Consider the following 13831-nt stretch of genomic DNA (forward strand, 5'->3'; position numbering starts at 1 on the left):
TTTTACCTGAACAAAATCAGCCAAAACTACATAGAAGGAATCTCACACTCACACAAATAATGTCAATGAAATGCATTTTTCACCAATTTTCTCCTTCTGTGCCTATTTATGTAACGATGTATAAAGGACACAGTATTTCCAGATATTATTTTCCAGCCAGAAAATTAATTGTGAATCATAAAAGGGAAAAAAAATCACTGCTCCAAACAAAGAAAATTACCTGCTGGTTTCATACAAATCAGGGCTGGCACTGGAAGCACAGGATGCTGGCTTTTCAGTGCAGCATCCATTTAAGCTGGCATCTGATGACAGTGAGCACGCTGCCAATATCAGCTGCATGCCAACCCTATCACTAGTGGGACTGGCAGCACCAAAATAAAACAAAGACCAGATTACCGGCCTTGAAAATATCAAGAGGGAGGAACTGCTGCTTAAGAGGCATTTAAATAATCTTCCTACGTTTCTTAACAAGATTACCCCTAAAAGCCCCCTGGGAAACCAACTCCTTCCTCCCTGCTGGTTTGTACCCCCCTGGATAGAAGGCTTTGCATCGAACTCTTCTTAGCGTACCTCTCCACCAAGTATGGAAGTTAAGCCGCACCCGACTGGCTGCCACTGTTAATGAGGTTGTTGTCAGCCAGCCGAAACCCACACTGAGAGATTACAGTTCAGTATTCCCCTCTCCAGGCCCAACAGGAGAAACTGAGCTGTCTCTGCACATTCAGGGCTGAGTTTATGTCCTTTGATTGTCCTAGCATTTTACTTTCACGAGTGTGTGCATCTACCCAGCAAACCTAGGAAGCAAGCTGAGGACTATTTTTCCCACTCATATATAGGGAAAAAAAAGGGGGTGGGGACTGCAAGAAGCCAGGTTTGCTGGTTTGTTCTCTTCCCACGTAGCACCCATCACCACCTCAAAAACACACATTGGGCACTTTTAAAGGTTGCTTTCCTTAAAGCTGTGAATGTGATCGATGTACACAATGTCTCAATGGCTAGGATCTGAGTTACCCATACATTCAAGTCCCATTCACCACTTGGATGAATGGCCCTTACTACTTCAGGTTGCGAATATCAACTAGATGAGCTGCTGGTGGATCCCCCTCCATGCTGGCAGAGAACTGTTTCCCCTTCACCACCTTCATCCGATGAGCAGCAGCATGAAGGTGAGAACACCTCTCCGCATCCTGCTAACTCTATTCATCAGTTTTAGACCTGTAATACATACGCTTTTAAATGCCTACCATTCTACTCAATGACTGCCCAGAAAGAATTTTAGACAGTAGAGAATCTAGGCCGTCATGGGAATAGCTGTATTACCTCAAAGATTCCCCTCCTAAATAATAACTTAAGTTTCTCAACATGTTCTACAGAACGCTGTAAAGGATTGCTTTTAGGATGACAATGCATAGCTATAAACAGCGAGTACGGAGAAGTTCAGGTCATTTTCTACATGCGTAGCCTATAAAATTTCATTTATTAGATTGAAAACCCCCCTAAAAAACATAGGACATAGATTTTTTAAATGCGGAAATAAAGATCAATTCTGCTGTAGAATTTTGAATTTCTAAGTTTAAGGTGAATCCTAAATTGCTTAGAAACATTGTTTGTCTTCAGTTATTGTAATATTCTCATTCAATTAAAAAAATTAGGTGCTGTAATTCAGACTTTTAATTAAGTGAATTAGCTTTTGACATTTTCTTGGAAAAAGATGTTCCCAGTGTGGCTTTTCCCCTTTACTTGCAGTTAAACATTCCTTAGTACTTTTAAAATACTTTGGTAAGAAATACGCAGTTTATAGCAAGGTGCCAGCTTTGTTCAGACTCCAGGGGAGAGCAGCCGCTAAGCTCAGGCATTGCAGCAAGAGGGGGAAATTTGCACTGAATCTGAATGACTTTTTTATAGTGAAAGATGCAAATACTACAAAATATCTGTGGTGATTCTTGAGACAAACTCTACTGATATTCCTATACCTCTACTGTTTTGTTTACTGAGGCAGAACAGATCCTGGCCACATCTAAGTATGTCTTGACTCTGCTTTAGCGTCTCACCTGTAGGTTTTCTGTTGCCACATTCCTGTTGCTCAAAGTTGTCAAAGGAAAAGTTAACTGTGCCACTGAACAAAGACCTCTGTACATTTGTCTCAAGTTAGATGAAGAAGCCCTGTGAACTGAGCATTAACTACAGGAGAAGCACCATCCTTGCCATATGTGTTATATGTCTCATATCACACTATTTCTAATAATTGTTAGAGAACAATCAGCTGCCGTGCAGAGATCATTGACAATCTCTTCCCACTGCCTCTGTTATTCAAGAGTTTGTTTCTATGGTGGAGCTAATGAGTCTCATCCTTGCAGCTAATCAAATGTAAGTCTTTGTATTTTAGCAAAAAAAAATAGTAATAATGTAGCTTTTTTCTTTTGTAATAAGTATCCAGTCTGGTATTCCTCTAATTAAGAAGTCAGACTTTTAAAATGTTCTCTATTCGTTGCCTAGGTACAAAAGCATCAACAGAATTAAGATGGTTAGCGAGGTGAGGCCTTGAAATCAACATCTCCGCCTCCTTGCATAAACCCTTCATTGAGACTCCTCTTCCATTTGGGCAACTTGATGTGGTTCAAGAGCATGGAGAATTGATCTCTTAAGACTCATAAAATATTTGCTTCTTCAAAAAGAATAAAGGAACTGAAACAAGTGATTGTGGTATGTGTGTATTTGTGCCTATTTGAAAATAATGTTCTTTGATATGCAATACTGATCCTATCATCAGGGAAAAGAAAAAAAAACATTTTAAAGAATGCTTTAAAAAAAGGTTCCACTTCATTTCATAAAACCTGAAAACTGTAGACATATATCTAGTTATTCATCTTTGAAGTCACCTACTCTCTCAAACATTCTTAGCTGTATATCTGGGGTCTCAAATGTTTGCTTTTGTAATAAAACAATTCTAACCTTATGAGACTGTCAACTCTACAGAATAAGATCAGCTAACTAAAAGCTTTTGCTTTGGTTTTTCAACAAAGCAATAGAAAAAAAATGAAAAGGAAGATGAGGACAAGAATAACACGATATTCAAACAACTTGAATGAATATGGGAAAAGAAAATTGCACTACTGAAGCCACTGAATAATGGTCTGTGATCTTATCAATTTTCATAAATTAAGCAGGTTGAAACTGGCCAATGTTTAGCTAGCAAATTTTAGTAACTAAAAAGAGACTGATGAAAAGCAAATACAGTCAACTTGATTTTATCTGTGGGCAGATTTACCAACTTGTGGGTTAACAGTGCCATCTGATCTTTTACCCACCATCAGCCTTTGTGTGACTGTGAAATCCCAGGCCATGTGGGGCTACTAGAAAACCCTACCTCTATCCCCACACTGGGCAACACTGGCTATTCATACCAACTGAAAACCACAGGACCAGTCACCACAATGAAAAGAATGAAATCATTTTCCCTAATTCATCGTCAAGGACATGATTCCCTGCGCCTTAATTGATGACGCTCCTCTTTTTAAAAATGCCATCGCTCACACACTTAGTGTCAGGCATTTTGCCGAGGACATAGGCATGCGGGGACCTTGTCCTACTGAATTTCACTTTACCACACTTCACAGACACTGCATTTTTACAAATGGAAGGTTTGTGGCAGTCCTGCGTCCATCACGTCTATTGGTGCCATTTTTCCAAAGGGATGTGCTCACTATGTTTTTCTGTGTCACATTTTGGTAATTCTCACAATATTTTGAACTTTTTCATTATTCTCATATCTGCTACAGTGATCTGTGATCAGTGTTCTTGGATGTTCCTATTGTAATCATTTTGGGGTACCATGAACCACACCCACATAAGACAGTAAACTTCATTAATAAATGTGTGGGTTCTGACTGCTCCAACAACCGGCTGTTCCTGTCTCCTCCTCCCATCTCCTCAGGCCTCCCTATTCCCTGAGACAAAATAATATTGAAACTAGGTGAATTAATAGCCCTACAATCACCTCTAAGTGTTCAGGTGGAAGAAAGAGTTGTACATCTGTCACTTTAAATCAAAAGCTAGAAACAATTAAGCTTAGTGAGGAAAATACGTCGAAAGCCAGGCGGAATGAAAGCTGGCCCTCTTGGGCCAAACAGTTAGCCAGGTTGTGAATGCAAAGAAAAAGTTCTTGAAGGAAATTAAAAGTGTCATGCCAGGGATCACATGAATGATAAGTGAAACAGCGTGATTGCTGATATGGAGAAAGTTTGAGTGATCGAGATAAAAGATCATATCAGCTACACATTCCCTTAAGCCAAAGCCCAGTCCAGAGCAAGGCTCTAACTTTCTTCATTTCTAAGCAGGCTAAGAGAAGTGAGGAAGCTGCAGGAAAAAAGTCTGAAGCTAGCAGAGGTAGGTTAATAGGCTTTAAGAAAAGAAGGCGGCCGGGCACAGTGGCTCACGCCCGTAATCCCAGTGCTTTGGGAGGCCAAGGCAGGTGGCTCACCTGAGGTCAGGAGTTCAAAACCAGCCGGCCAACTTGGTGAAACCCCATCTCTACTAAAAATACAAAATAAAAAAATAAATAAATAAATAAATAAATAAAAAAAAAAACACATTAGCGGGGCGTGATGGCGGGTGGCTGTAATCCTAGCTACTTGGGAGGCTGAGGCAGGAGAATCACTTGAACCTGGGAGGCAGAGGTTGCAGTGAGCCGAGATTGTGCCACTGCATTCCAACCTGGGCAACAAGAGTGCAACTCCATCTCAAAAAAGAAAAGAAGTCATCTCCACAATATATAACTGCAAGGTAAAGCAGCAAATGCTGATGTAGAAGCTGCAGCAAGTTATCCAGATCCAGCTAAGATCACTGATGAAGGTGGCCACACTAAACAACAGATTTTCAGTGTAGATGAAATAGCCTAATATTGGAAGAAAATGCCATCTAGCACTGTCATAGCTGGAGAGGAGAAATCAGTGCCTGGCTTCAAAGTTTCAAAGGAGAGGCTGACCCTTTTATTAGGAGCTACCACAGCTGGTGACTTTAAGTTAAAGCCGGCACTCACTGAACATTTCAAAAATCTTAGGACCCTTTAGAATTATGCTAAATCTACTCCCCCTGTGCTCTAGAAATGAAACAACAAAGCCTGGATGACAGCATATCTGTTTACAGCATGTTTTACTGAATATTTTAAGCCTACTGTTGAGACATACTGCTAAGAAACAGATTTCTTTTAAAATATCACTGCTCGTTGACAATGCACGTAGTCACCCAAGAGCTCTGATGGAGATGTACATGGAGATTAACGTTGTTTTCATACCTGCCAAGAAAACATCCATTCTGCAGCCCATGGATCAAGGAATAATTTCAGCTTTCAAGTCTTCCTATTTAAGAAACATATTTCATAAGGCTATAGCTGCCATGGACAGTGATTCCTCCGACGAAGCTGGGCAAAGTACATTAGAAGCCTTCTGGAAAGGATTCACCATTCTAGATATTCTTAAGAATATTCATGATTTATGGGAGAAGGTAAAAATATCAACATTAACAGGATTTTGAGAGTTTATTCCAACTCATGGATGCCTTTTAGGAGTTCAAGACTGCAGTGGAGGAAGTCACTGACGATGTGGTAGAAAGAGCAAGAGAACTAGAATCAGAAGTGAAGCCTGAAGATGCGATTAAACTGCTGTAATCTCATGATCAAATATAAATGGATGAGATGTTTCTCCTTGTGGATGAACGAAGAAAGGGGTTTCTTGAGATAGAATCTACTCCTGGTTAAACGCTGTAGACATTGTTGAAATGACAACCAAGAATTTCTATTACACAAGTGTATAATAGTTGATAAAGCAACAGCAGGATTTGAGATGACTGACTCCAATTTTGAAAGAAGTTCTATGTGCCTAAAATGCTATCAACCAGCATCGCAAGCTACAGATAAATTTTTTGTGAAAGGAAGAGTCAATGTATGCAGCAAACTTCATTATTTTCTTACTTTAAGAAATTGCCACAGCCACCCCAACCTTCAGCACACACCACATCAATCAGTCAGCAGCCATCACATTGAGGCAAGACCCTCTACCAGCCAAAAGATTATGACTTGTTGAAGACTCAGATGATTATTAGCGTTGTTTAGCAATATTGTTTAGTTAAGGTATGTACATTGAGGTTTTAGACATAATGCTGTTGCACACTTAATGGACTCTCATATAGTAAAAACAAACTTTTCCATGCACTAGGAAACCAAAAAAAGTTGTGTGACTCATTTTATTGCAATATTCCCTTTATTGCAGTAGTCTTGAACTGAACCCACAGTGCCTCCAAGATTTGCCTCTATTATCTCATTTAATTCTCACAACAACACTATAAGGAAGAAACTAATATAATTTTCATTTTAGAGTGGGAGAAAGTAATCTCAAGTAAATTAAAGTTACACAAATAATGAATAGAAAAGGTAACATTTGAACCTGTGTTTCCCATACTCCAATGAACATTTGTAATTTTGGTCTATCCAGGACTTATTTGCCTTTTCTTCTGGTATCCCCACTTTCCTTTGAAAATTATGTCTTCCACCTTCCACATGATAGAGTCGATGGTCCCAGAGGTGGCTTGTAACCCAAGCTGCATCAGCTGTGTTCTCCTGGGAATTTGAATGCTGAGCAAAGACCATGGAGCAAGGAGGAAGCTGGAGCTTCACCATCCAGTGGTAGCATCAAAAGAGCCAAAGAGCCCTTGTGGTGAGATTTCCAAGCTGCTCTGGCTGGCTTCCCATGGCCTGGTTGGTCAGCCCTTCCTTTGACTCCAAGAGCAACACAGCATCTTTCCACTAGATGCTCTTTCTGGTGTTATTCAGAGCAAAAGATACCTCTGAAGGCTCTGCTATAAAGGTGCCTCATATTATGCACACGAGGTACTTGGTACCCAGGAATAAGGAAGAAGTGGTCCAGTTCCTCAAGGAATTCAAAATCTAGGAGAGACACACACACGTGTGTGTAGTCAAAGCTCCCTCAGAAGCATTAAAATATAGTATCATAGCATACATGAGTGAACAACTTAGGACATTTCAGAAATACCATAACATACATGAGTGAACAACACAAGAAATTTCAGAAATATCATAACATACATGAGTGAACAACTCAGGAAATTTCAGAAAGTTAGTGACTCATAGATCCAATCATTTTGTTCTCTATGATTCTTGAGAACCCCCTGGCTATATGATCTTATCTCTGTTTGGAGAAGCAACCGAATGTACTCACTGACTTATTTATATTTGCATTCTTTCGATAGTCATGTATTGAGCAACTATTTTATTTAAGTGCCATATAAACTGGCATTGAAAAATAAATTAATAAAGAAACAACTCAACAAACCTGTTAGCTGGTCTCAAAGAAAGACATGTGTGTATCAAATACTTCCAATGGTGTCTTCTGTGTCTGGCTTCTTCATCTAAGAAAGCTTGCCCTACAGACGAAAGAGGGCAGATTCCACAAGTCAGACACACATGAGTTGAAGTGTGGCACTGACACCAGCTCTGAGTATTTGGACAAGCAACTTAAAATCTCTGTCTCAGTTTCCACATTTGTAAAGTAGACATCATAATTCTTGCCTCATGTACTTGTGGGAAGAATAACTGAGAAAACCATGTAGGTTAGCACAGCTCTCGCTGAGCTAGAAGCAAGGAGTTGGCAGGGCTGCATTCCTTTCTGGAGGACCTAGGGAAGAATTTGTTTTCCTGCCTGTCCTGCTTGTGGAGGCTGCCCATATTCCTTGCTTCAAGGCCCCTTCCATCCTTAGGGCAGCATGGCCAGCCGCATCTTCCCATCTCCTTATTGTGATTATTGGCTCTATTGGTGTTACCACCGGATGACTAAGCTCCAGCTTTCTTCTGATTCTTTCTTCCTACTCCCTCTTTCACTGATAAGGACCTTGTAGTTACATTGGGCCCACTTGAGTAATCCAAGATATGCTGGGATAAGATTATCCTCTTGATCAGCTGATTAACATGCTTAATGGCATCTACAATCTACATGTCCCCTGGCCTTGTAACCTGACATATTTACACATTCCAGGGAGTACAGCCTGAGTATCTCTGGGGAGTGATTATTCTACTACCCCACTTACGAAAAGTAGAAGCTATCAATAAGCCAGAGCATATTGCAAGAACGATATTCCCACCGCCAGATCACCTGTTTATGAGTTATCGATACTTGAGAAGTCTTCTTAGGCTTTTGATTGTATGCATGCCTGTGTACACACACACACACACACACACACACACAGACACACGTTTGGACACTGCACTCTAAATAAATTATAGACTCCAGAAAGCTACTAGCACCTATTTTCTATGACATTACTTAATTTGCATTACATTTCTATCTTGAAAGCCTATTCTTTCTCTGTGCACATATGAAATTAGAATCATACAACTTGTCTTCTCCTTTTTTATTCATCACTTTTGCCTAATCCACTTTCTTGCCTCTTAGATATCTACCAGAACTAGAGTTATCATACTCCACCATTCCCTAAGATACACTTGGAAATCAATGAAGTGACTAATAGCTGAAACAAAAATATTTCTTTAAAATAAGCTTGACAGTTTGCCTGCGTACTGATAAGAGGTGCTTCGGAAATTAATTAACAGGATGTTTTCTTAACTCTCAAATTGCAGGTTGCGATAGAAAACAGTGAATGATATTCAGAATATTGTGCTTAAAAGGAATGTGATACATGAGAGAGATACATAAGGGAAAGAGAAGCCACCAGAACACCCCTCTTTCATCCTTTTAAGTTACACTTTAAAATCATGATATCGCTATGTATAATTCATGCCAGAGCTTTACTAGAAAAATAAAATTCCTCCCTGAAAATTATAGCAGGTCTATAATTAATTTGTCCTTGAAATGAAAATTACTTCTCCACATTTAAAGAAAATATAAAGTTCCAAACTTTGGCAAAAATTGCAGTCAAGTTCTTACTGCCACAATAAGACTGTATATGGTATGAATGCATATGCAGATTAACAAGAAAAGAAAGCTATTAGAATACATTCATCTCAATTTCTATTTCAATGTTTTTCTCAACCGTTTTTTCATGATCGCCGCCCACCCCCCTGCCGACCTAAGGAGCCATTTCAGATATTTTTTCCTAATCATTTTCCACCATGAAGTGTTAATGCCACAGATATGCTGTGTATTTATTTACTGCATGTATATCTGTACTTTCTACATCAACAGAAGATTTTCCCCTCCCAAGAACTGATACTACTTCATTGAGAATGTGTGCTGATTTGATGCCTATCTATACTCATTTGCTAATTCCCCCCACCAAACACACGCATGTTTATTGACACTTACTATGTGCCAGGCACACAATAGTGAACAAAGACCTCATTCTCATTTTAGTAAGACACACACAGAGCAAGCAAACCAATAAATACATCACACATCCCGGTATTGATTTTAAGAAAAAAAATGTAAAGTGCATGAAAATGTTTCTGTGGGCAGACTCTTTGATATTAAAAAAAAAAAACAGTATGTTGCCTGCAGCACTCTTTCGCTATAAAGTCTAAGAAGACTGTGGATCCTTGAAAGCAGCAGGAGAAACTGAAACAAACAGTGGAGTTCTTCAGAGCCACCTCATTTCACCACAGCACTGAGTTTGCAACGTTGCTGTCTGCACAAAGCACTGCTGCAATGGGTTTTGTCTCAGGGTCAGAGAGCCCCTCCTCCAGGCTCTCTCAAGGGAAGCCTAGAAACCTGGAGGAAAGATAGTTAACGCTCAGGACAGGGGAGATAAACAAGGTTCAACCTGGTGAAGCTGGTCAGATTCCACTTCTTTCAGTTCCAAGTATTAGCAATGAAATCTATAATCTAGAATTCCTTCTGAAAATATTTGGGAATGGTCATGTACACAGCCTGATGCAAAGAATAAGCGTATAGCTCACTGAACTGCCCCTGCCATGTTCCAGTGGTTCTGTAATTATAAAATAGAATGTATGTTCCCCTAATAAAGTGTAGAATGTTGAGAGAAGTAGAAAAAATTGAGTAACTCAGAGTCTCATTCCCCTAACAGAAGCCAATTTAACATTTCATTTGAAGCCTGGGAGAGAGGAAGACATCAGGAAACGGAAAGCAGGAGGTAGGGAGGGTGGGAAGGATCCAGGAGTCATGGAGGCCGAGCAGCCACAGATTTGCTGGCAGCGCCGGGGGGAAAGGAAGGCGGTCAGGGTCCCTCAGTGGGTCTGAGTCATGAGCCTGGCAGGACACTGATGGTCATTGGGTCACTACAGCAGCTGAGATTTTTTTTCTGTCTTTGTGACATTAAACACCCATTAACAGAGATATCCTGGCTCCGTCTCTCTTTCTTAGATGTGAAAGTGATTGTTCAGCCTGATTTGTCAAATACTTCAACTTCCAAATGAACCCCATTTCATTCCTGATTTGACTCGATATATTCAACGTAAGTTCTGGTGATTTTCCTTCATCACATGTCCCGCTGTCTTTCTTGAGAATAACTTACTTTCTTTGACATGGCTGAGTACTACCTGCAGGACCATTCTCCCTATCTTGGACTATGGCCAGCTGGTTGGGTTGACCAGTGAGCCAAGTAGGAGAGCCAGAACTAGGTCTAAATGGAAAGGCCTAGAAATGAGATGACTTGGCCTAAGGCTACTGGACATGCCACAAAGGCCCATAGAGTCCAGCACAGGCAAAGCTAGAAGGGTGATTTGCTGCAATTTAGCTGGAAGAAGGCACAGAGCTGAAGCCAAATGACAAAGACACAGCCTAGGGGGCTTCCTTAGAGCCTGGTCTCTGGCTCCCAGCCATGGGATGAATGTAGCTTCTCCCGTTTACTGGCTGCAGAAATCTGGGCCAGTTACCCGACTTTTATGTGCCTCACTTTTCTCTTTTATATGTGAATAATCATGGTGTTTATCTAGTGGTGTTGCTAAGTAATAAATACTATTGATTAATCTTTAGTAAACTACTTGGAATGATGCCTGGTACATAATAAATACCATGCATAAGTGTTTATTAAATTAAGTAAGTGGTTAAATCAGATGAGCAAGAGTCTGAAAGAATGATCTTTAGGACAATGGAGCCCCAGAGAATGCGCCTCTTACGGGGAATCCCCTGGTTAAATTCTTGGGTGGAAAATAGCTATTAAGAGGACCTGGACAGATCAGATTTGAGCAGATATGGAAAAACAAATAAACAGAAAAATGTGTATAAATTGGGAGCTGTTTTTAGAGACCACATGCTCATTGTAATTTCCATCATGGAGTAGAAGGCACAGTATGTGAATATGTTATGGACAAGGAAACTGTGAATATGTTAAGTTTAATATAGTGTCCCTATTAACATATGTCCCTTCCACTCCATGATGGAAATTACAATTACAACTACGATGGCACCATGTGAATTTAACATAGTGTCAGTGTGTTTAATCCAGTTCTCCAGGTGATCAGCTTCTTGGAATATGGCCGTTGTTGGGAGAGCCCCTCACTAACGTTTCTGAGAGTAGTTGATCTGCCAAACAAATGTTCCTACCATGGTGTTAGAGCAATCATGTTTACTAATAACAATAACTGCAACAATAAAACACTCCATCACATCCAGGCGTGGTGACTCATGCCAGTAATCCCAGTACTTTGGAAGACTGAGGCAGAAGGATTGCTTGAGGCCAGGTGTTTATGGCTGATCAAGGCCTGGGCAACATAGCAAGACCCCATCTATATTTTTTTAAAAAACCTACACCTCGCTGTGCACATTAGTGTGCGCGGTGAGCAAAATCCACATCTTATAGGTCTGTTCCTCTCATTCGTGATATTTTGAGAGGTAGAAAGATTTTCATTCATAGTTCCTCACTGTCATGGCCCCAACGCTCACACTGTGTCCTGAGAAATGGTGTTGGTGGAGCTCCTCTCTCACCAGGGATCTGCAGTCCATTCAGGGACCCCAGTTTGCCTCCACAGAGAACTGTCTTGAGTGGCCCTGAGATTACATATAGATCCATTTTTCCTCGTTGTATCCATTTTCCTTCTCTCCCATATGTTTTCTGTTACTATGTTCCTATAATAAATGGATTTACTATATTCTACGCACCATGGTAGCTTTGCATGCTTTAGTAATGAGCAAGACAGACATGCTCCTACCTGCATGAAGTATACACTCTACATGCTTAGAGGTGCATTAGTGAAGGTTTTCCAGAGAATCAGAAGCAATAGGATGGAGAGAGTGAGTGAGAGAAATAGATATTAAGAAATGGACTTATATGATTCTAGAGACTGGTAAGTCTACAAGCTGCAGGGTAAGTTGGCAAGCTGAAGACCTAGGGAAGAGTTGATGTTGCCATTGTAGTTTCAAAACAATCTGGAGACAGAATTCCCTCTTCCTCAGGGGAGGCCAGCCTATTTCCTCTGAAGGCATTCAGCTGAGTGGATGAGGCACACACACATACAAAATGGGGAGGGTAAGCTGCTTTACTCAAAGTTTACTGATTTCAATGTAAATCTCATCTGAAAAATACCTTCACAGCAACATCTAGACTGGTGTTTAACCAAGTATCTGTGTTTAACCAAGTGCCTAACCAAGCTGACACGTTAAATAAACCATCGCAAGGGGCAAGCAGGCATTTTCCATTCAGAGTGAAGGACCTACTGAAGGAGCCACACAGAGCTGTCCAAGCACAGAAGAGAAGCCCCTATCTCAGATTTTGGTGGTCATGGGAGGTTTCTAGAGGCATGATATCTGATCCAGGGGCTATGTTGGAGCAAAGAAATATGTGCTGTAGTCCAGAGGTAAGCGGTCTGATGCAGTTGGAACAGTGAGGTGTGCAAGAAGCAAGGCAAGAACTAGCTCCTGCAAGGGTCTGTGGACCATGTTGAGAAGTCTGGATATTTATCCCAAAGGCAAGGGGGAGTCATTGAAGGGCTAATGAGTGACATGGTGAGAATTAGATATAATGACTCTCTTCATATTGTGGAGAACTGAATTTGGGAAGGTAAGCAGGGAGTCTCTAGGAGTGCGTTGAAATCACTAAGGTGAGTCCCTGTAGTGACCCTGTGTGTGCGCATTCTCCATATCAGAATGCAGCAAGCCTGATTTTCTTTAAAAGGCAAGAGAGTAAGTATTTAAGGCTCTGTGAGCCACATGTTCTCTGTCACCAAAATTCAGCTCAGTGGTTGTAGCAATAAAACAGCAATAGGGCCAGGTGCAGTGGCTCATGCCTGTAAACCCAACACTGAAAAGCCAAAGTGGGTGGATCACTTGAGGCCAGGAGTTTAAGACCATCCTGGCCAACATGGCAAAACCCCGTCTCTACTAAAAATACAAAAATTATCCTGGCGTGGTGGCGGGCACCTGTAATCCTAACCACTAGGGAGGCTGAGGCAGAACAATCACTTGACCCCGGGAGGCAGAGATTGCAATGAGCCGAGGCTATCTTGGGCAACAGAGTGAGAAAGAAGGGAAGAAAGGAAGGAAGGAAGGAAAAGAGAGAAAGAGAGAGGAAGGAAGGAAGGAAGGAAGGAAGGAAGGAAGGAAGGAAGGAAGGAAGGAGAAGGGAAGGGAAGGAAGGGAAGGAAGGGAGGGAGGGAAAGGAGGGAGGAAAGGAAGGAAAGGAAGGAAAAGAGGGAGAGAGGGAAAGAAAGGAAAGAAAAGAAGGAAAGAAAGAAAGAAAACAGCAATAGGCAATATGTAAACAAATGGATGGGGCCATGTTACAGTGAGACTTTATTCACAAAAACAGGTGCCCGGCAGGTCAGACCTGATCTTCAGGTCAGGGTTTACTGACAGCTAATCTAGGGGAATAAAAACTCAGGAATGGATTCAAGAATTGTTTAGGAAAGAAA

The 13831-nt window shown here is 40.9% G+C and overlaps 1 long non-coding RNA gene across 1 annotated transcript in view; it reads right to left on the reverse strand.

Annotated features, from left to right (window-relative positions):
• Positions 1 to 13831, reverse strand: part of LOC107984626 (uncharacterized) — a 142002-nt gene that overhangs the window by 45387 nt on the left and 82784 nt on the right. Inside the window, exon 2 of the long non-coding RNA XR_001750000.2 lies at positions 7347 to 7437. This is a non-coding gene — a long non-coding RNA (uncharacterized LOC107984626). The remainder of the gene's footprint in view (positions 1 to 7346; positions 7438 to 13831) is intronic.

This window comes from Homo sapiens, chromosome 13, assembly GCF_000001405.40.
Source record: "Homo sapiens chromosome 13, GRCh38.p14 Primary Assembly".
NCBI lineage: Eukaryota > Metazoa > Chordata > Mammalia > Primates > Hominidae > Homo > Homo sapiens.